The following is a 23,678-nucleotide window of genomic DNA, read 5'->3' as shown; positions in this document are numbered from 1 at the left end:
CTAATTTTTGTATTTTTAGTAGAGACAGGGGTTTCACTATGTTGGCTAGGCTGGCCTTGAACTCCTGACCTCAGGTGATCCACCTGCCTCAGCCTCCTAAAGTACTAGCATTATAGGCATGAGCCACTGTGCCCAGCCATGAGATATTTTGATACAGGCATGCAATGTGAAATAATCACAACATGGAAAATGGAGTATCCATCCCCTCAAGCATTTATCCTTTGAGTTACAAACAATCCAATTACACTCTTTAAGTTATTTTAAAATACACAATTAAGTTATTATTGACTGTGGTCACCCTGTTATGCTATCAAATAGTAGGTCTTATTCATTCTATTTTTTTCCCTCCCATCCTCCCTCTACCTTCCCAACCTCTGATAACTATTCTCCTACTCTCTATGTCCATGGGTTCAACTGTTTTGATTACTAGATTCCACAAATAAGTGAGAACATGTGATGTTTGTCTTTCTCTGCCTGGCTTATTTAATAGTTTCCAATTCTATCCAGGTTGTTGCAAATGACTGGCTCTCACTCTTTTTTATGGCTGAATAGTACTCCATTGTACATGTGTACCACGTTTTCCTTATGCATTATTCATCTGTTGATGGATGCTTAGGTTGCTTCCAAATCTTAACTATTATATACAGAGCTTTAGCAAACATAGGAGTGCAGATATATCTTGTATACACTGATTTCCTTTCTTTTGGATATATACCCAGCAGTGGTATTGCAGGATCAAATAGTAGCTTAATTTTTAGTTTTTGAGGAACCTCAAAACTAAAAAATAATCTTCTCCATAGTGGTTGTAGTAATTTACATTTTCACCAACAGTATATGAGGGTTCCCTTTTCTCCACAACCTTGACAGCATTTGTTATTGCCTGTCTTTTGGGATACAAGCCATTTTACCTGGGGTGAGATAATAGCTCATTGTAGTTTTGATTCGCCTTTCTCTGATGATGAGTGATGTTGACCACCTTTTCATATGCCTGTTTGCCATTTGTATGTCTTCTTTTGAGAAATGTCTGTTCAAATCTTTTGCCTATTTAAAATGATCAGATTATTATATATTTTTTTCCTATAGCATTGTTTGAGCTCCTTGTATATTCTGATTATTAATCCCCTGGCAGGGTTTGCAAATATGTTCTCCCATTATTTTGGTTGTCTCTTCACTTTGTTGATTGTATCCTTTTACTGTGCAGAAGCCTTTTTTTCAGGGCTAGCTGAGGTTTTATTTTGGGGGGAAAAAAATAAAAGCAGTTGAGTTGTTTTGTAGCTGAAGGCATGGGCAAGGTGGTCCCCAGGCAGTAAACTCCCCCGTGGGTGGGCTGAGGGCTAGGGCTGAGCCTCAGGTGGGTCTCCCATTCCCTGTGCTCCGCTGCACAGCAGCCTCCCTCCCAGGCTCTGGGGCAGCCACCAGAGGGGCAGGCTGGGAGGGGCTGTCGCAGCTGTTCACTTAGGAAGGACATCAGAGGACTCGGATACCAGCTTCCCATCGCAGGTCTTGATCTTCTTCACAACCATGGCCCTGGTGGAGCTGGTGCAGCTGAAGGAGCTGGAGCCCATGTCAGAGCCAAAGCTGGAGCCCAGGCCATAGCTGAGGCCAGGGCTTGTGAGACCCCCATAGGCCAAGCTCAGACCATCTGCATAGGCGCTGGTGGTCTTTGTATGGATACTCATGTTCTGCATCCCAGACTCCAGGTGGCTCTCCTCACTCTCCAGCAGCTTCCTGTAGGTGGCAATCTCGATGTCCAGGGCCAGCTTCATGTTCTTCAGCTTCTGGTACTCATGCAGCTGCCACGCCATGTCCTGCATGGCCTGTTGCAGGGCAGCCTCCAGCTTGGACAGCTTGGTGTTGGCATCCTTAATGGCCAGCTCCCCACGCTGCTTGACATCTGCGATGGTGGCCTCCAGGGAAGCCCTCTGGCTTTTGAGGCCCTCAGTCTCAGCCTGGGGCTGGCTGATGTTCCAGTTCATCTTGGAGATCTCAGTCTTTGCATCTGCAGCTCCTTATACTTGATCTGGTACATGCTCTTAGCCTCAGCCCGGCTGAGGTTGGGTGATCTCCTCATACTACGCCTTGACCTCAGCAATGATGCTGTCCATGTCCAGGAAGTGGCTGTTGTCCTGGACAGCACCATAGATGTGTCCGAGATCTGGGACTGCAGCTCCAAGGTCTCCTCTTCATACAGCTGCCTGAGGAAATTGATCTCGTCAGCCAGCCCTTCCAGCTGAGACTACAGCTCTACCTTGTTCACGTAAGCATCATCCATGTCCTTCCTGATGAGGATAAATTCATTCTCCATCTCTGTACACTTATTGATCTCATCCTTGTACTTGTTCTTAAAGTCCTCCACCAGCCCCTGCATGTTGCCAAGCTCTGCCTCTAGCTTCAGCTTCTCCTGGACCAGAGTGTCCGGCTGCCCCCTAGGGTTGTTGATGTAGCTCTTGAACATGTTGCCCATGTTGCTCCAAGCCATCTTCTGCTGCTGCAGGAGGCTCCACTTGGTCTCTAGCATGTTGTTCTGCTGCTCCAGGAACCGTACCTTGCCTATGAAGGAGGCAAACTTGTTGTTGAGGGTCCTGATCTGCTCCTTCTCCTTCTCCTGCTCCTGCACGGCCTGGATGTTGGGGTCCACCTCCAGGTTAAGGAGGCTCAGCAGTCTCTGGTTGACCACAACGGCGGTGATGCCTCCCATGCCGCCGGCCCCACCAGAGCCTCCACCCAGGCCACCCCCGGAAGCTGCTGCTGCCCATAGAGGTGGACACCTTATAGGACTTCTGGGTCACCCTGATGGACATGGTGGAGGCAGGAGTAGAGGCAAGTGGATTGAACCAGGCAGAGATTCCAGAAGGAGCAGAGAAGCTGCTTCTTGGTCACTGTGCAGAAGCTTTTTGACTTGATATGATCCCCTTTGTCCATTTTTGCTTTGGTTGCTTGTGCTTGTGGGGTATTGCTCAAGAAATTTTTACCCAGACAGACCAGTGTCCTGGAGAGTTTCCCCAATGTTTTCTTGAAGTAATTTCATAGTTTGAGGTTTTCTATTTAATTTTTAAATCGATTTTGCTTTGATTTTTATATATGGTGAGAGATAGAAGTCTAGTTTCATTCTTCTGCCTATTGATATCCTGTCTTCTCAGCACCACTTACTGAAGAAACTCTTTTTCCCAGTGTATGTTCTTGGCACTTTTGTCAAAAATGAGTTTGCTGTAGGTGTGTGGATTTGTTTCTTGGCTCTCTGTTCTGTTTCATTGCTCTGTGTGTCTGTTTTTATGCCAGTACCATGCTGTTTTGCTTACAATAGCTCTGTAGTATAATTTGAAGTCAAGTAATGTGATTCCTTCAGTTTTGTTCCTTTTGCTTAGGATAACTTTGGCTATTCTGGGTCTTTTGTGGTGCCATGTAACTTTTAGGATTCTTTTTTCTATTTCCCAGAAGAATGTCATTGGCATTTTGATAGAGATTGCACTGAAACTGTAGATTGCTTTGTGTAGTATGGACATTTTAACAATATTGGATTTTATCCATGAACATGGAATATTTTTCCTTTTTTGGCATTCTCTTTGATTTATTTCATTAGTGTTTTATAGTTTTCATTATAGAGATCTTTTGCTTCTTTGGGTAATTCCTAAGAATTTAATTTTATGTGTGGCTATTGTAAATGGAATTTTTAAAAATTTCTTTTATTTATTTCACATTGTTCTCTGTTGGCATTTAGAAATGCTACTGATTTTTGTATGTAGATTTTGTGTCCTGCAACTCTACTGAATTTGGGTATCAGTTCTAATGGTTTCTTGTGGAATCTTAAGGTTTTTCCAAATATAAGATCATATCATCTGCAGACAAGGATAATTTGACTTCTTCCTTTACAATTTGGATGCCTTTTATTTCTTTCTCTTTTCTGATTGCTCTAGCTAGGACTTCCAGTACTATGTTGAATAACAGTGGTGACATCAGGCATCCTTGTCATGTTCCCGATCTTAGAAGAAAGGCTTTCAGTTTTTCCCCATGTAGTATGATACTACCTGTGGGTCTGTCATTTATGGCTTTTAATAAAAGCCATATGTTGAGATGTGTTCCTTTTATCCCCAGTATTTTGAGAATTTTTATCATGAAGGATGTTGAATTTTATTAAATGCTTTTTCAGCATCAATTGAAATCATCATATGATTTTTATCTTTCATTCTGTTGATATGATGTATCACATTGATTGACTTGAATATTTTGAATCATCCTTGCATCCCAGGGATAAATCCCACTTTCTGATGTAATGTTGAATTCAGTTTGCTAGTATTTTGTTGAGGATTTTTGCATCAATATTCATCAGAAATATTGGCCTGTAGTTTTCTTTTTTTGATGTGTCTGTGGTTTTGGTATCAGAGTAATACTGGCCTTGTAGAACAAGTTTGGAAGTATTCCCTCCTCCTCTGTCTTTTGGAATAGTTTGAGTAGGGTTGGTATTAGTTCTTCTTTAAATGTTTGGTAGAATTCAGCAGTGAAGCCATCAGGTCCTGGGCTTTTCTTTACTGGAAGATTTTTTATTATGGCTTTAATCTTGTTACTTGTTATTGGTCTGTTTGGGTTTTGGATTTTTTTGCCTGGTTCAATAATGGTAGGTTGTATGTATCTAGGAATTTGTCCACTTCTTCTAGACTTTCCAATATATTGACATATAGTTGCTCATAGTAGCCACTAATGATCCTTTGAACTTTTGCAGTATCAGTTGCAATGTTTCGTTTTTCATTTATGGTTTTATTTGGATCTTCTCTCTTTTTTTCTTTGTTAGCCTGGCTAAAGATTTGTCTATTTTGTTTGACTTTTCAAGAAACCAACTTTTTGTTTTATTGATCTTTTGTATTTTTTTCATTTCAATTTATTTATTTCTGCTCTGATCTTTATTATTATTTTCTTCTACTAATTCTTGGCATATAGAAATGCTGCTGATTTTTGGGCTATCATGAAGATTAAGTCTGATGTTTCTTTGTTGATTTTCTATTTGAAGACCTGTCCAGTTCTGAAAGTGGGGTACTGAAGTCTCTAGTTATTATTGTATTGAGGCTTATCTCTCTCTTTGGCTCTAATACCATGTGCTTTATCTTAATATATCTGGGTGCTCCAGTGTTGGGTGCATATATATTTAAAGTTCTTATATCGTCTTGCTGAATTGACCCCTTTATCATTATATAGTGACCTTTTTATATCTTCTTATAGTTTTTGTCTTGAAATCTATTTTTTCTGATATAAGTATAGCAACTCCTGCCATTTTTTGTTTTCCATTAGCATAGAATATCTTCTTCCATCCCTTTATTTTCAATCTATGTGGATCTTTATAGTGAAGTGTGTTTCTTGTAGGCAACATATAAATGAGTCTTGTTTTTTTCATCCATTCACCCAGTCTGTGTCTTTTTGTTGCAGAGTTTAGTCCCTTTACATTCATTATATGTATGTATGTATGTATGTATGTATGTATGTATGTATGTATTTATTTTGAGACTGAGTTTCACTCTTGTCACCCAGGCTGGAGTGCAATGGCACGATCTCAGCTCACTGCAACCTCTGCCTGTCAGGTTCAAGCAATTATCTTGCCTCAGCCTTTGGAGTGGCTGGGATTACAGGCACACACCACCACGCCTGGTTAATTTTTGTATTTTTAGTAGAGATAGGGTTTCACCATGTTTGCCAGGCTTGTCTCCAACTCCTGACCTCCCAGGCAGGTGACCCGCCCACCTCAGCCTTCCAAAGTGCCGGGATTATACACATTGAGCCACCGCTCCCGGCCAATGTTATTATTTATAAGTAAGGACTTACTCCTCCATTTTGTTATTTGTTTTCTCGTTGTTTTGTTGTCTTCTCTTCCTTCTTTCTTTTCTTCCTATCTTCCTCTAGCAGAGGTGATTTTCTCTGGTGATACGTTTTAGTTTCTTGCTTTTTCTTTTTTGTGTCTCCACTGTGTGTTGTTTTGGTTTGATATTATCATTTTAACCTCATAACAACTTAACACCAATTGCATAAACAAAGAGACAAAAAGAAAACTAATAAAAACTCTATACCTTAACTTTATCCCCTGGCATTTTAACTTTTTATTGTGTCTATTTATATCTTATTGTACTCACTATGCCTTGAAAAGTTATTTCAGTTATTATTTTTGATTCGTTCATTGTTTAGTCTTTTTACTTAGGGTAAGAGTAGTTTACACACCACAGTTACACTGTTATAATATTCTAGGTTTTCCTGTGTACTTACTATTACCAGTGAGTTTTGTACCTTCAGGTGATTATTTATTGCTCATTAATTTTTTTTTTTTTTTTTCTGATTGAAGTACTCCTTTTAGCATTTCCTGTAGGACAGGTCTGCTATTGGTGAAATTCTCCAGCTTTTGTTTGTCTGGGAAAGTCTTTATTTCTCCTTCATGTTTAAAGGATAGTTTTGCCAGATACACTATTATAAGATAAAAGATTTTTCCTTCAGCACTTTAAATATGTCATGCCATTCTCTCCTAGCCTGTAAGGTTTCCACTGAAAAGTCTGCTGCCAGATGTTTTGGAGCTCCATTGTATGTTATTTATTTCTTTCCTTTTGCTGCCTTTAGGATCCTTTCTTTATCCTTGACCTTTGGGAGTTTGATTATTAAATGCCTTGATGTAGTTTTCTTTGCATTAAATCTCCTTGGTGTTCTGTAACCTTGTTGTAGTTGTATATTGATATCTTTCTCTAGGTTTGGGAAGTTCTCTGTTATTATCCCTTTAAATACATTTTCTACCCCTATCTTGTCCTTTATTTTCTCTTTAAGGCCAATAGGCCAATTACTGTTTTTTTTGTTTTTGTTCTTTTTTTTTTGAGATGGAGTCTTGCTCTATTGCCAGGCTGGAGTGCAGTGGTGTTATCTCAGCTCACTGCAACCTCTGCCTCCCTGATTCAAGCGATTCTTCTGCCTTAGCCTCCCAACTAGCTGGGATTACAGGCACCCACCACCACACCTGGCTAATTTTTGTATTTTTTGTAGAGACGGGGTTTCACCATGTTGGCCAGGATGGTCTCGATCTCCTGACTCTGTGATCCACCCACCTCGGCCTCCCAAAGTGCTGGGATTACAGGCATGAGCCACCGCACCCAGCCCAATTACTCTTAGATTTACCCTTTTAAGGCTATTTTATAGATCCTGTAGGCAAGGCATAATTTATTGTGGTTTTTTTTTTTGTCTCCTCAGACTCTGTATTTTCAAATAGTCTGTATTCAAGCTTACTAATTCTTACTTCTCCTTGATCAGTTCAGCTATTAAAAGACTCTGATACATTCTTCAGTATGCCAATTGTGTTTTTCAGCTCCAGAATTTCTGCTTGATTCTTTTTAATTATTTCATTCTCTTTGTTAAATGTATCTGATAGGATTATGAGTTGCTTCTCTGTGTTATCATGAATTTTCTTTGTGTTTTCTTAGCACAGCTATTTTGAATTCTCTGTCTGAAAGGTCACATAGCTCTATTTATCCAGGATTGGTCCCTGGTGCCTTATTTAGTTCATTTGATGAGATCATGTTTTCCTGGATGGTGTTGATGCTAGCAGATGTTCTTTGGTGTCTGGGCATTGAAGAGTTGGGTACTTATTTTAGTCTTCACTGTCTGGGCTTATTTGTAGCCATCTTTCTCAGAAAGGCTTTCTAGATATTTAACAGGACTTGGGTATTGTGATCTAAGCTGTATCTACTTTAGGGGGAACCCCAAGCCCAGTAATGCTGTGGTTCTTGCAGACTCATAGAGGTGCTGCTTTGATGGTCTTGGACAAGATCTGTGATAATTCTCTTGATTACCAGACAGAGAGTCTTGTTCTCTTCTCTTGCTTTCTCTTTTTTTGTTTTTTTTTTTTTGTTTTTTGTTTTTTAAGATGGAGTCTCGCTCTGTCGCCGAAGCTGGAGTGCAGTGGCGCGATCTCAGCTCACTGCAAGCTCCGCCTCCTGGGTTCACGCCATTCTCCTGCCTCAGCCTCCCGAGTAGCTGGGACTACAGGCGCCCACCACTACGTCTGGCTAATTTTTTTGTATTCCTTAGTAAAGACAGGGTTTCACTGCTTTAGCCAAGATGGTCTTGATCTCCTGACTTCATGATCCGCCCGCCTCGGCCTCCCAGAGTGCTGGGATTACAGGCGTGAGCCACTGCGCCCGGCTCTCTTGCTTTCTCTTAAACAAAGAGTTTCTCTCTCTCTGTTCTGAGCCACCTAAAGCTTGAGGTGGAGTGACACAAGCACCCCTGTGGCCACCACCACTATGACTTTGTTGAGTCAGACATGAAGCCAACAAAGGGCTGAGTCTCACCCAAGTCCTGCTGTAACCACTCCCTGGCTACTGCCTATGTTCACTCAAGGCCCTGGGGTTTTATAATCAGTAGGTGATAAAGGCCTGTTTTTTCCCCTTCAGGGCAGTGAGGTCTGCCAGGCTCTCTGGGTAGGTCCAGAGGTGCCATCTGGGGGTCAGGAACTAGAGTCAAAAGTCTTAGACATCAACCTGGTATTGCTGCTGAGCTGACACTCAAAACACAAAATACAGTCCTTCCCAGTTTTCTCTCCCCTTTCCAAAGGCAGAGGAGCCTCACCCTGTAATCACCACTACCCCAGACCATGAGGAGTACTGCCAGACTAGCCCTGATGTTCCCTTAAGGCCCAAAGGCTCTTAAGTCAGCTTGTAGTGAATGCCACCTGGTCTGGGACTCACCCTTCAGAGCAGTGGACTTCCCACTGGCCCAGGGCAGGTCCAGAAATGCCATCCAAGGGTCAAGTCCTGGAACTGGGGACCCCAAGAGCACACTTGGCATTTTGGACCCCAGTAGCTGTGCTGGTACCTGAAGCCAGCATGTCCCAGAGCCTCACCCAAGGCCCTCGACGTGGTACCTGGATATTGCTGCTGGTTATTCGTGACCCAAGGGCTCATCAGTTAACAGGTGATGAATGCTGCTGGCACCAGCTCCTTTCTTTCAAGGCAGTGGGTTCCCTTGTGGGCCAGAGTGTGTCTAGAAATGTTGTCTGGTAGCTGGGGCCTAGAACAGAGGCCTCACAATTCAGTCTGTTGCCCTTTCCTGCTGTGGCTAAGCTAGTATCCAAGATACAAAACAAAGTCCTCCCTACTCCTCCATCTCCTCTCCTCAAGTGGAAGGAAGGGGTCTTTTCTGGAGCTGAGAACTGTGCAGCCTGGGATTAGGGGAGCAGTGATGCCAGCACTCCCTTGTCTGTCCCAGCTAGTGTCTCAGTATGTCACGTGCCCTCCCACCCCCAGTTCACTGTCTCTGGGCCTAGTTCAGCACTAGGACTTTCCTAATAGTTGTAGTCCTTATGGCCTAGACTGCCTTTCACATTGACCTGGAGACTCAGAGTGCTGTAGCCCTCTGTGGCAAGGTTTGCAGGCACTCAAGTTCCGACCACAGGGATCTGCATTCCCCCTGGCATGGGCAGGCATCAGCTGAGTTTGGTCTGGTTTTCCTTTCTGCTGTAACAGGACAACACTGAATTTAATGCCTCACAATTGCTGTGTTCTCCCTCCCCTAGTGCCCAGAGATGCTCTTCGCCCCCAGTAAGGGAGGCGTGGTGTCAGCAGATTCAGGACGGGTTTTTTTTGTTTTTGTTTTTGTTTTTTTAAATCACTTCAGTGCCTCTTTCAGGGATATGAAGTGGAAATCAAGTACCATGAGTGCTCACCTGATTTTTGGTTCTTAAGAAGGTGTTTTTCCTATGTAGATTAGCTGTTAACTTGGTGTCCTTGCGGGGTCGGGGGACGAACGGTGGAGCTTTCTATTCTACCATCTTGTCTGCATCTCACTAGATTATCTTTTAAAAACTAGATAGTCATTGGCTTTCTTCTTTCGCTCAGTCTTTCTCTTCAATATCTACTCCACTGCTATAAGCATGTTCTTTTACAATGAAAAATGTGACCATGGCATTCCTGTGCTTGAAACTGTTTAGTAAATATCATTGCCCAAAGAATAAAGCCCAAGCCCCTTAATACTTAAGGCTCTCCGCAACCTGGAGACCTCAGCTTTATCTTCATCACTCCATGCGCTTGGGACTGCAGCATCTCACACCAGACTGACTGTAGTTGGACACGCTCCATGGATTTCTCCCCGTCGCCCTGCTCCTTTGATCGCCTAGGCTGCAAATCGTCTTTCCTTCCTCAGTCCCATCTGGTCAAATACTCCTCAGTTACGGCTCAACTCAGACATGACCCTTTTATAAAGTCTTTTCTGTTACCTGGAAATGATCTCTGTTATCACCCTCATACCCAGTGGGCATCTTTATAACTTCACAGATTTTCATGTTTTATAATGACCTGGGTTTTTTTTTTTTTTGCCTCTCTCTCTCTGGGCTTTAATTGAAAGCCTTCTTTCCATCTTAGTAAAGTTTCTGGAGAAAGAAGACACTCATTAAGTATACACTGATTGACTTGAATGAATATATGTTGGCAATGGATATTTTTGCCACATTTTGCAAATTTGTTAACACAATCTGTAATTTATACTTCAGAGAAATATCAATTGTAAACATGATTAGGGTAGTGCATTTTAATGAAAAGGACACCAGAAGGGTGTTATGACATTAGTTCAAATTTATGTTTTTACTATATGGGATGTATTAAAAATCACTTCATTTCTTAAGTGTATTAAAAATAACTTGATTTTTCCATGTTTACACTTGTAAAATATAAGACATTGATCCAGGCAACACTTAGAAGATGCATTTGGCCTCTGCATGTCTTTGACCTTCTGGACATTGATTATGACCTGACTTTGATTACTCTGTTTCTAATTTGTAATTGTTATGTGTTGACAGTTATAAACTTATAGGTAATTGATGTCTGCTCTTTTGAACTAATCATGAATATATTGTTAGGCTGATTTTTAACCTAAGCATAAAGCATGTGTATTATTTCTACTTATGAAGCTAACATAGTCAAATAGAAACTTCTAAGGTTTTTATTGCACTTATATGCAAATAGTTGTATCTGAATGAAATCACCTTAATGAAATGCTGTCTTTGAAACCTAATTATAACCTCTTTATTAACGAATGTAGTAGGGGAAAGAAGTCATATTAATGTCGTTGATAAGTTATGTTTATCCCCTTCTGTCATCATATTAACTGAGAATGAAATACATATAAATAGAAAAAGTTTAATAATAATGGTATCAGATGTTAATTGAGCTTACTGTTTGTTAGACAACTCATTTTATATGGAAGAAAGCTGAGACAAGAGAATTTAGCCATGGTCACAGATTAGGTGGCACTAGTTTGAAAAATTTAGGACCTTAGAGACATCATTTTCATTCCATAACTTTCCTTTCTCGTATGTGAAGAAGAATTAGCCACCTATTTAATTTCTATCTCCATCAACAAAATATCAGTAGGATATGTGTTGCTTATTGGTAAGGAATACTGGTGAGGAATAAGAGGCTAAGGTACAGGTGGAGATGTTTTTAAAAGTAATTACTAATGTATAGGAGAAGACACAAAATGGATAGTTTATCTGTTTAAGCTTTGTGGTGGCCATTGCTTTTTATGTAGCCTCTATAACTGAAAGTCTTTAAGAGACAAGGCTTTCCCTTTTACCAGTGATTCCAACAAGATAAATGCCTCAGCTGGGATGAATTGGGGCTTTTCACAAGTGACCCGTAGCTTTCTTGTAGAAATGCTTCTCAGTTTCTTTATGTAGCACAATTCCAGGGACAAGGTGAACCTAAATGATAACTATGGGCTGTCTTCCTATATGTCAGTTACATCCACAAATGGGATGTTAGGGGCTGGGGAAGGGTGTGTGATGGGATGGCAGGGGCTGGGGAAGGCTGTGTGTGTGTCCATGTGGTTTTTAAGGTTTTGATAGAACAAAAATTTTACCTGCAAATCAGCCTAGTGGCCTGTCGCAGTCTGTGTCATAGTATTATTTACAAATAGTCGTAGTTTTCATTCTCTCTATAGTGAATTTCCTGGTAACACAAAAATGTTTGAGTTTCAAAATGTTCATACAACTTACCAATTGCCTTTTTTTTTTTTTTTTTGAGACGGAATCTTGCTCTGTCGCCCAGGCAGGAGTGCAGTGGCACGATCTTGGCTCACTACAAGCTCCGCCTCCTGGGTTCACGCCATTCTCCTGCCTCAGCCTCCCAAGTAGCTGGGACTACAGGCACCTGGCACCATGCCCAGCTAATTTTTTGTATTTTTTAGTAGAGAAGAGGTTTCACCAATTGCCTTTTTAAAGTAGAAAAGTTGGCTGGGCGCGGTGGCTCATGCTGTAATCCTAGCACTTCGGGAGGCTGAGGTGGGCAGATCACTTGAGCTCCGGAACTTGAGACCAGCCTGGGCAACATGGCAAAACTCCATCTCTACCACAAATACAAAAATTAGCTGGGTGTGTGGCACATACCTGTGGCACATCCCAGGTACAGAGGAGGCTGAGGCAGAAGAATCGCTTGAGCCTTGGAGGCAGAGACTGTGATGGGCTAAGATCACTCCACTGCACTCCAGCCTGAGTGATAGAATGAGACCCCATCTAAGAAATTAAAAAAAAAAAAGTAGAAAATTGCTGGGCACAGTGGCTCATGCCTGTAATCCCAGCACTTTGGGAGGCTGAGGCAGGCAGATCACCTGAAATCGGGAGTTCAAGACCAGCCTGACCAACATGGAGAAACCCCATCTCTACTAAAAATACAAAATTAGCCAGGTGTGGTGGCGCATGCCTGTAATCCCAGCTACCTGGGAGGCTGAGGCAGGAGAATCGCTTGAACCCAGGAGGCGGAGGTTGCAGTGAGCCGAGATGGCGCCATTGCACTCCAGCCTGGGCAAGAAGAGCGAAACTCCGTCTCAGAAAAAAAAAAAAAAAAAGGGAAAATTAAAGCATTTGCTTAAAAGTCAGTGAAAATATGTAAAATAATATGGGGAATCCGGAATAGTTTGAAGTAATGAAGGCTATAACATGAATGCCACTTTCTTTGAGATTCCTGATAATATACTTGTTAGTAAAGATGATGGCATAATAGTCACCATAAAGAAAAGTGATTTTTTTTATCATCAAATCACCAAATAAAACCTTTGTCGTAAGGAGCAGCCATCTAAAGAGTATATTTAAAAGGAGAGATATAGATACTTGTGTGTAGATATTAATATATAGGTTCTCACCATGGTGATTATGCCTAAGAGTCAAAACTTTATTTTCTTGTAGGGCAACTGGGCAAAAATTACAAGTTTTGCTGCTCTTGAAGCTTCCCCCATGATCTGATTCTTGAGCTGAAACTCATGTAACAAGAGAAGAATTTGGTAAAGCCTGATGCAGTAGCATCTTTGAGGTGGTCAGAAGAAGCCCTATATTGTCAAGGATAGATACTGTTGTTAACAGCACCATCCGCCGAGCATAGTGGCTCACGCCTGTAATCCCAGCACTCTGGGAGGCCGAGGCAGGTGGATCACTTGAGGTCAGGAGTTCGAGACCAGCCAGGCCAACATGGTGAAACCTCATCTCTACTAAAAATACAAAAATTAGCTGGGTGTGATGGCGGGCGCCTGATAATCCCAGCTACTCGGGAGGCTGAGGCATAAGAATTACTTGAACCTGGGAAGTGGAGGTTGTAGTGAGATCATGCCACTGCATTCCAGCCTGGGAGACAGAGCAAGACTCTATCTCAAAAAAACAAACAAACAGAAAACAGAAAACAAAAAAACACCACCATCATTCAGTGCCTTTTATGGTCAACGCCTGAAGAGCTGGTGCTGATTACAGATTGGGGTTCAGGGCAAGACCACGTGGGCACACCCAGTGAGGCCACAGCAAAGTGCCCTGGGGGGAATGGTGTTGGGACTAGGCTCAGGGAAGCTGGTGGCATGAGGAAGGACTCTGGCCTCTGACTCCAGCGTGTTTGTTCGACTACCAAGCAGCAATGACTGTGGGGTGGTGTATTATAACAGCTGGCCCAGCCAGAATACAGGGGATTAAGTGTGGCAGTTCATAGCATTTATTATGAATTTGAAAGGCCTTCAGAAGTCTTCCAAACTGGAGCCTTATTGGAGATGTTCACATTGGGCAAAAGGAATTGTTCAGCTTTCTGTTGTCCTGGCTTCTGTGCTGGCAACATCGGGGTTTCCTGAGTATGGGTAGTAACACTTGTCATAAGGTAGAGGTGGTGCCTTTCTGTACAATATTGCTTGGATATAAAAGATACACATCTAATTGTTTAAATGTATTATCTTTTATCTGCTTTATTTCATCAAATGGGGCAGGTGCTCAGTTTCCTTTGTCTGATATCCTGTGAAGGTAGCATCAGGAGAATGACTCATGCCCTGTGCTGCCTTGCCCTCTGCTGGGCTGGCTTGAGTCCTCAGGTTCCCTCACAGATGCAATTCCTGATAATAATCACTTGCATTCTCCTGTTCTAAGCTACAGCTTCCTTTTCTCTTTTTTTTTTTTTTTTTTGAGATGGAGTCTCGCTCTGTCACCTGGTTGGAGTGCAGTGGTGCAATCTCGGCTCACAGCAACCTCTGCTTCCCGGGTTCAGGCGATTCTCCTGCCTCAGCCTCCTGAGTAGCTGGGACTACAGGTGCACGCCACTGCATCTGGCTAATTTCTGTATTTTTAGTAGAGAAGGGGTTTCACTGTGTTGGTTAGGATGATCTCGATCTCCTGATTTCGTGATCCCCCCGCCTCGGCCTCCCAAAGTGCTGGGATTACAGGTGTGAACCACTGCGCCCGGCATTAGCTACAGTTTCAACATGATGCACTAGAGGGGAAAAAAAAAGAAGGCGTCTGCCAAACTGACACACACACACACACACACACACACACACACACACACACACACACACACACACACACACACCAGCTGAGTAGTTACTGCTTGGTTTCTTCTGCCCGCCTTCAGTTGCCTCTGATCAAAGCTGTTCTCAACTTGGGTTTCCAAAACATTTCGCAGAGAGCTTACAATGGTAAATAACTTCTTGTGCAACAGGTTTGAGATTTTTTCCGAGTTATAATATGTCTTACTTACCTGTTTCTGCATGACAAATAGTGACAAACTTAGGGGCTTCACACAGTACGGATGTATTGCCTGTTTCTGCAGCAGGAGATCAGGCCCAGCTAGCTGCCTCCCTGCTTTCAGGGTCTGCTCTAAGCTGCCATTTCCTTCTCACTCAATCAAGTTATGTTCTCCAATGTTTTCTCACTTTTTTTTTTTTTTTTTTGAGATGGAGTTTCGCTCTTGTTGCCCAGGCTGGAGCCATTTCGGCACACCGCAACCTCCACCTCCCAGGTTCAAGCGATTCTCCTGCCTCGCCTTCCCAAGTAACTGGGATTACAGGCATACACCACCACACCCAGCTAGTTTTTGTATTTTTAGTAGAGACTGGGTTTTATCATGTTGGCCAGGCTGGCCTCAAGCTTCTGACCTCAGGTGATCCACCTGCCTCGGCCTCCCAAAGTGCTGGGATTACAGCCGTGAGCCACCGGCCTTGAATTCATTCTTTAGAAACTTTAATTATGAAATGTCAATGGAATAATATTTATAGATGAAACTTAAATTTTTTTTTTGTATTTTTTTCACACAGTGTAACGCTGACATCATTTATTGAAACATGACATATCTTGAGTGTATTTAAAAACCAAGAGGGTGAGTTATCTCAGCAACAGTGTTTTTGTTAAATGTAGTTGATACCTATTACTGATGAAAAGCAATAGAAAAGAAAGCTTCTATTTGGGTAATGTTTTAAGTTTTTCTTTACCCAATGGATTAGTGTAATTTGCTCTCTCATTTTCATTAATTTTATTGATGACTGAAATTGCTCATTACTCAAAAAGCTGGAATTTTTTTAACTTTTAAATTTGGCATCCTAGTAAAATCTTGGTTCAAAGAATATTTTACTGGTTGGGTTAGAAATGAATCCATTTTGTTTAATATACTTTGAAATACTATTATCATGATTGTTAACATCTATTATATTACTCTAGACATGATTTTAAATTCCTCCTTCTATATATTCCTCTTTGTATAAATGCCTCCATATATAATATATATAGCCATTATTGACTTTTGCCAGTCATTTACCATGTGTTTGCGTTGGGGTATCACATACTGACCTGTGCACCAACCTATGGGCCCTTCCTACTTGGTTTTTTGTTGCATGTGGCTGAAAAGTCTGTTAGAAGCATAGTCCATTGCGTATAAAAGGAACTGAATAAGTGACTTTTGAGTTAGATATATAATAGGTGTAGCACAGAATTCCTCCTTTCTATAAAGCCCCCCAAATAAGTATATTTCATCATTTTTCTTGATAGTTGATACACTCTGCTTTTGGAATTTTTCCCACAATCACAAACCCCATTGTTAAATTCTCAGTCTCATTTTAGAACATTTCTGTGGTGACCTGGCCTTGGCTGGGTCTTTCGCCTTCTCTGGAGGCCGTCCCAATGTACGCCTGGCTCCGGCAAGGCCATGAGATGCTTCCTCCTCAACACCAGCCAAGCTGCCATTCCCATGGCTCTAGTAAAAGCCCCTGATCTTCATGCCATTGCGCTGCGCTGTGCTCCCCCCACCCCGTGTTGCCACTGTCATCTGTTAACCTCCTGCCCCCCGCCACCTCACTGAGGATGTTTATCTGTCCTGTCTGCCACCCCCAGTTCTCCAAATTCTGTCCGTTTTCTTTTCTTTTTTATTTATTTATTTAGAGATGGAGTTTTGCTCTTGCTGCCCAGGCTGGAATGCAATGGGGCGATCTCGGCTCACTGCAAACTCTGCCTCCCGAGTTCAAGTGATTCTCCTGCCTCAGCCTCCCAAGTAGCTGGGATTACAGGCATTACCACCACGCCCGGCTAATTTTGTATTTTTAGTAGAAATGGGGTTTCTCGATGTTGGTCAGGCTGGTCATGAACTCCCGACCTCAGGTGATCCGCCCGCCTCAGCCTCCCAAAGTGCTGGGATTACAGGCGTGAGCCACTGCGCCTGGCCATTCTGTCCGTTTTCTTGGCAACTCATTATTTACATGAATGGTCCCCTCAGTATCCTGTATCTTCATTCATTGATCTGCTCATCTTCAGTGACATTTTCTTCTACTCTATTCTCATCGAACACTCTCAGTGTAACAGAGTCGAACTAGATGTTACTTCACCTCCAAAATAACAAAATGAAGCATTCGCGTCTCCAGCGACAGCTGCGGTGCTTGCAGAGCCCTTGCTGTGTTAACCTCCACGGGAGTCCCTCGCCGCTTTCTCTCCTTCCCCAGCCCTCCTGCCATGACTCCTGTCTTTATCCACCTGAGATTCCAAAGTTCATCATTTCACTCATGTTCTTTCAGCTGCCTTTTCCCCACTCACTTTTACCCTTTTTTTTTTTTTTTTTTTTTTTTTTTTTTTTTTTTTTTTTTTTTTTGAGATGGATTCTTGCTCTGTTGCCCATACTGGAGTACAGTGATGCAATCTCGTCTCACTGCAACCTCCGCCTCCAAGTTCAAGAGATTCTCCTGCCTCAGCCTTCTGAGTAGCTGAGATTACAGGTGCCCACCACCACGCCCAGTTACCCACACGCTTTTTATTGCACTTCCTGAGCAAATGCATAGCTTTAAATGACTGTGGTGGTCTGTGTTTTAGTTTCTTTCCCTTGAAGCTTTAGGGTGTTTTTTTTTTTTTTTGGTAGTAAACATTTGGGTAAACCGAGGACACTGTAAGTTCACATCAGCAGATGGCTCTTCCCTCCTTGTCAGTACCCGGTTTCCTGAGGTATGAGCTCCCACTCTCTACAGCACCCCCCCTATATCTATCCCTTGCTTCTAATAAGACCTCCCACTCCTCCCACCCTCCCCTGCCTCTTTCTTTCCGGCTGCTCACTTTGCCTTATATGTTACTGCAATTTAAGAAGGTGACACCAAGAGCACTCACTTTCTTGTCTTCCATTTCTTGAGAAAAAGCGTCCTTTCTCCTCTTAGATGCAAAGGCCTCCACTTGTGCTGGACACCCACCTCTGCCTCATCAAAGAGGTTGTTCCTTTGGCTGGTCCCCTCTCTCCTTTATTGTCTTCTCTCATTTCCCCAATGCACATTGTGTTGTAAGAGCGTCTGCCTCTTAAAGAACTTACCTGGACCCCACTCACTTCACTTCTTGCCCCATTTTCCCTTCCCATTTAATCTTTCCTCCCCTGAGACAGCATCACCAACAGCTTTGGGCAATGCCAAGCCCAGTTAGATGCTCCTCTCGTTTGTTCTTACGCAGCCTCTCTCCAGCACTGGGCACTGTGGACCACCCCCTCTGGTTGAAACTCTGCTTTCGTGGCTTCTGAGACCTGGTTTTTCTCCTACATCTACGATTCTTTCTGCTTAGCGTTTTGAGCCTTTTCTGGCTTGAACCTGAACAACTTCTGAAGGTTGAAGGTCCTCAGAGCTTGGCCCCACGTCCTCTCTATCTTCTCCTTGAGTTATATTCCCATGGCTTTAGAAACCATCTATATGCTAATGACTCCCAAATTTATATCTCCAGCTCAGCTCTCCTCTCAGCACTCCCGTCTCATTTATCCAAATTACTTACCTGACAACTCCACGCGGATGTTTCTCAAACATCTGAAATGTAATATGTTCAAAACTAAACTCTTGCTTTTTTTCATGGAAACTTATTTCTCCATGAATCTTCTCCATCTCAGTGAATGACAACTCATTCCACATAATTGCCGAAGTAAAAAGACTTGATGGATTTTGATTCTGCACCTCCCACACTCCCACATCCAATCCATCCACAGAAATGGTTGATATACCTCCAGAGTACATCTTCCATTGCCACCGCGATAACCTGCCGGCACCTTGCTTTGTCTCTCGCCACCCGCTCATACAGTGTTCAAGGTACTCTTATTAAAACGTAGATCGGTCCCTTCACTTTCCTGCTAAAACCCCGTTTTTTCCCCCTACATTGCACTTAGCACTTTAAGTCACTCTCCTGGCCAGTATAGCCATGACTGGCCTGGTCTCTGTCTTTGCTGTCCGACTCACACCTATGGCCACCAACGCCTAGTCACCTGATTTTCCATTTGTGCAACAAGCCGGATTTGTGTACTTTGTTCACAGTGTTCCCTTTGTTTGGAATGTGTTTTCCTTCTCTCTTCTCATGGCTGTGTTCTTTTTATTCAAGTTTCTATCTAAATCTCATCTCTGATTTATTTCTCTAACCATTTTTTCTAGGTAGGATACCTAGTTATTCTTGACCACAGTATCAGTTTTATTTCCTCCCTAGCATTTTGTATTTTATAGTGAACACTTTGTATATTTGCTTCTGTATTACCTGTGTCTTCCACTAGACTCCAAGTCTCATCATCACACACTGACTGCTGAGCACATAGTAGGGATTAATAATTGTTAATGAATGAATAACTTGATCTGTCAATCTCCAAAACAAATGAAATATTCAAGGATTGTGGAGGACAAGAGAAGAAATGGTCTGTTTCTTCAAGTAGCTCACAAATACATGTTACAACGATGAGGCCGGAGCTTCTGTATGAACTTACTCTGCCCTCAACAGAAACCAAACCATCTTCTGGGTGGTTCTTACACAGGTTTCTTTGCTTTATAAAAACTCAACCATGTACTTAGGAGTTGTGTATGTTTTTATATATGGTTGCACCTCAATAAAACGGCATATCCAAAAGAAAAAGGAAAAGGGAAAAATGCTAAGAAGTACTTGCCTAATTTTCTGCAACAAGACTTTATTTTTATAATCAGGAAGACTGACAACAATTCTCTAAGAACAAAAGAAATCTCTGAATAACTGTATATTTAGAGAAAAGGAGTTATTCTCATTATTTGTTTATGATATTCTTTTGTAGCTCTTATATTGTAAGTTTATAACACTTTAACGAACCTCCTTAAATTCCATTTAACTTGTTATGGACTGGAAATTGGGTATAGTTTTCAGACGTTGGTCTGGTGGGTGAGATTTATACCTGGTGGAATTAGTACATAGTTTTGGGATTTGTATGCCCAAGTACGTGTTCTCTATCAAATTTGCTACTTGGGCTGTTTCACTGGCAGACCTGTTAATAGAATCTCGTTTGTATGTGTGTCTCACAGACTACTTTGAAGTGAGGAATATTCACGAAGGCCTATTACAAGCATCAGATCACTAGATCACTAAGAGAGATGATAAGAAGGGTCTTGAAATTACATACAGAAGAAAATTTGCTGTTATGCTTAGTCATACATACATTCTCTGTTTCAATCCTAGAGATCTGTCAGGTGGGTATGCGTAGGATATGAGCAGCCACCAGCCAGCCAGATGCCTCCTAGCAATAGTCTTCTCACCAGGACCTGAAGTCAATGTCATTACCTCACACGCCACTCCAGTGGGCTGCGTGACATGGCACCGTCGCAGCATGACACACAGGGAAGTGTTTCTAGTTTCCAGAACATTTCTGAAACCCACATCTTCCTTCTACATCTTTGTAAGAACTTAAATATGGTGTGATGTTATTGCACATCCACCAGAGACTTGACGCTTTCTGTTTAAAACCTAACATATGCTTAGATATTAATAAAATAGACTCTAGAACCAACTCCTCTGAAATGGGCCTGTAACAGATGCTGTACTGCTCAGAAACTTTACCAAGTAGCTGTAGAGCCCAGCCTCGCCTGGTGACTTACATACCCCTAGGAGAGTCTTTAACCAAAGACTGACAAGGATGGGGGTGTTTACTTCAGCTCCTCCTTCTCCCAACTCTCATCATCTGCCCATCCCCCAAACGGGACAACTCTGAGAAGTGTCTCTAGAGTTCTCTTGTAGCAATGAGCCAAAATAACCCTTCATAAGAATTTACCTAATGACACACCCTTGTTGGGCTTCCTTCCTTTCCCTGTCTAGCCCCCAGACGCTCTATTTCTTTCTCCCTTGGGACAGCCCTTCCTAATAATTCACTTCCACTTAGTGTCTGCTTCTAGGAAATCCTACCTAAGACAGGCTTCGTTCCACCTAAAGGCCGAAGCTACTGTGATATTTTACAATCCTTGACTTTTAGCTACATACTCATTATTATTATCATTCTTACTTTATCCTTTACACTACCTTGATCACTGGAGTAACCTTAACCTATCTGCACATAGATCTTTATTTTCTATTGTGAAGGTGATATTATTAGGAACCACCAACTGAAATTTTACCACCTCTATAAAACACCAGACAAACGGTGAGACATATTTAGCTTCATCATCCACTGTGTGGCTTTTTCTTTTTGTTTTACATTAATCCCTATTAAAGAGATTATTGGCTGGGTGCGGTGGCTCACGCCTGCAATCCCAGCACTTTGGGAGGCCGAGGCAGATGATCACCTGAGGGCAGGAGTTGGAGACAGCCTGGCCAACGTGGTGAAACCTCGTCTCTACTAAAAGTACAAAAATTAGCCAGGCATGGTGTCATATGCCTGTAGTCCCAGCTACTTGGGAGGCTGAGGCAGGAGAATCACTTGAACTCAGGAGGCAGCGGTTGCAGTGAGTCGAGATTGCACCACTGCACTTCAGCCTGGGCCACAGAGCAAGACTCGGTCAAAAAAAAAAAAAAAAAAAGATTATCGCATTCTATTACTATTAGTTTTGTCTTTCTACCTCCCCTGCTAGGCTGTTATCTACTCAATGGTAGGGCTCTGATTTTATCCGTCTTTGCAAACGTGTGTAGAAACTAATCGCTAATAATAAAAGTTAAGTAAATAAATTCAAAATTCTAGAAGCACATCAGTTTGTCCAGAGATAACATGTCGAGGGTGCTGTTGACATAATTTTTATAATGTCTGAGAAATGATAACCAATAGCAGAACTACCAAGCATTTTTCTGTTTCTCAAAACAAACTTCATAGAAACCTGTGTTTTGGTCAGTTTGGGCTTCTGTAACAAATTACCATAGACGGCTTATAAACAGCAGAACTGTATTTCTCACACTGCTGGAGGCTGGAAGTCAGGCTGGAAGTCAGGTGTCCGCAAGTTCTGGGTTTGAAGGAGGGCCGTCTTCTGGGTTGAAGATGGCCGTCTTCTGGGGGTGTCCTCACACTGAGGAAGGAGGCAGAGCTAGCTTCTGGGATCTCTAATCCCACTCATGAGGGTTCTACCCTTGTGCCCTAATAACCCTCCGAATGCCCTACCTCCTAATACCATCATCTTGGGGGGGCAGGATTTCAACATATAAATGTGAGGGGAAGATTGAGTCCATAACAGCCTCAGATGGAACGATATGATGGGAAATCCCTTTACCTCAAAGGACCAAGAATTCCCACCTCCTGTGGAGGATACCCTTTACCTTCCTTAGTCAGCAGGAAGATAAGGGGAGTGAGCGGACCAGTGAAAAAAGCACCCGAGAGTTATTTACCCAATGCCATTTCTAAAATGTCAAGTTATTTAACTTGAGATGATTGCCACAGGAAATAATCCATGAAATAGCTCTTGGTCTTTTTGAAATTTTGTGTCATTATTAGACTCGTTCATCAAGAAATTTGCACCTGAGCTCATTGCAGCTCAAGCTCAAATGGCTTTCAAATGAAAATGTCTTTTAGCTTAAATAGGAAGGATAGCCATCCTTCCAAAGGAAATGGACAATTGTATTAATGTCTCTTTGGTTTGTATTACAATCCATCTAACTAGTATTTACAAACGAAATGAAGCATTATTTGAATGTCAGTTGTTTCTAGAGAGATAAATGGGATTATGTGCTTAATTAGGAGAATTCCTGTTCCTGGGTCCAGATTTAAGACTGATCTTTGCGTTTGATGTTGAGGCATGATTTTCTCTCAGGAAATATAGGCAGAAACCTAAGTATGCATTCACATTTTTCTGAATGTTTAAAAAACTATCAGAGAGAGGACCAGGCACGGTGGCTCACGCCTGTAATTTCAGCGCTTTGGGAGGCTGAGGCAGGCGGATCATGAGGTCAAGAGATTGAGATCATCCTGGCCAACATGGTGAAACCCATCTCTACTAAAAATACAAAAATTAGCTGGGCGTAGTGGCGTGCACCTGTAGTCCTAGCTACTCAGGAGGCTGAGGCAGGAGAATCACTTGAACCTGGGAGGTGGAGGTTGCAGTGAGCCAAAATTGCGCCACTGCACACGAGCCTGGTGACAGAGCGAGACTCCGTCTCAACAAAAACAAAAACAAAAACAAAAAACTCAGAGAGGAAGTAGGGGCCACCTTCCAGTGTCAGGAGGGAGGTTAATGGTGTCTCGATCCCTGCTGACTTTGTGTCCTTGGCACAGCCTAATGAGGAATAGTGGGAGACCAGTGGATGTGAGGTTCAAGGCAACTTCTTATCGGATCTTGGCCCTGTTAATAACTGTTGGCCAGGCACGGTGGCTCATGCCTATAATCCCAGCAGTTTGGGAGGCTAAAGTGGATGTATCTCCTGAGGTCAGGAGTTCAAGACCACCCTGGCCAACATGTTGAAACCCCCGTCTCTACTAAAAATACAAAAATTAGCCCATTGTGGTGGTGTGTGCCTGTAATCCCAGCTACTTGGGAGGCTGAGGCAGGAGAATCGCCTGAACCCAGGAGGCAGAGGTTGCAGTGAGCTGAGATTGTGCCATTGCACTCCAGCCTGGGCAACAAGAGTGAAACTCCTTCTCAAAAAATAATATAATAATAATAACTAACTGTGACATTGGGAGCGCTGCTTAATTTATCTGGGCTTCATTTATCTCCTCTATTAAGTGGGAGAAAGA

At 42.4% G+C, this 23,678-nt stretch overlaps 1 protein-coding gene and 1 pseudogene across 5 annotated transcripts in view; one reads left to right on the top strand and one right to left on the bottom strand.

The window, feature by feature from the left end:
• PRKN (parkin RBR E3 ubiquitin protein ligase) overlaps positions 1 to 23,678 on the top strand; it is a 1,380,350-nt gene that overhangs the window by 156,587 nt on the left and 1,200,085 nt on the right. The window lies entirely within an intron of this gene.
• On the bottom strand, positions 1,214 to 2,877 carry KRT8P44 (keratin 8 pseudogene 44; annotated as a pseudogene).

The sequence above is a fragment of the Homo sapiens genome, chromosome 6 (assembly GCF_000001405.40).
Source record: "Homo sapiens chromosome 6, GRCh38.p14 Primary Assembly".
NCBI classification, from domain to species: domain Eukaryota; kingdom Metazoa; phylum Chordata; class Mammalia; order Primates; family Hominidae; genus Homo; species Homo sapiens.
This window is presented reverse-complemented; position numbering and strand designations above follow the sequence as displayed.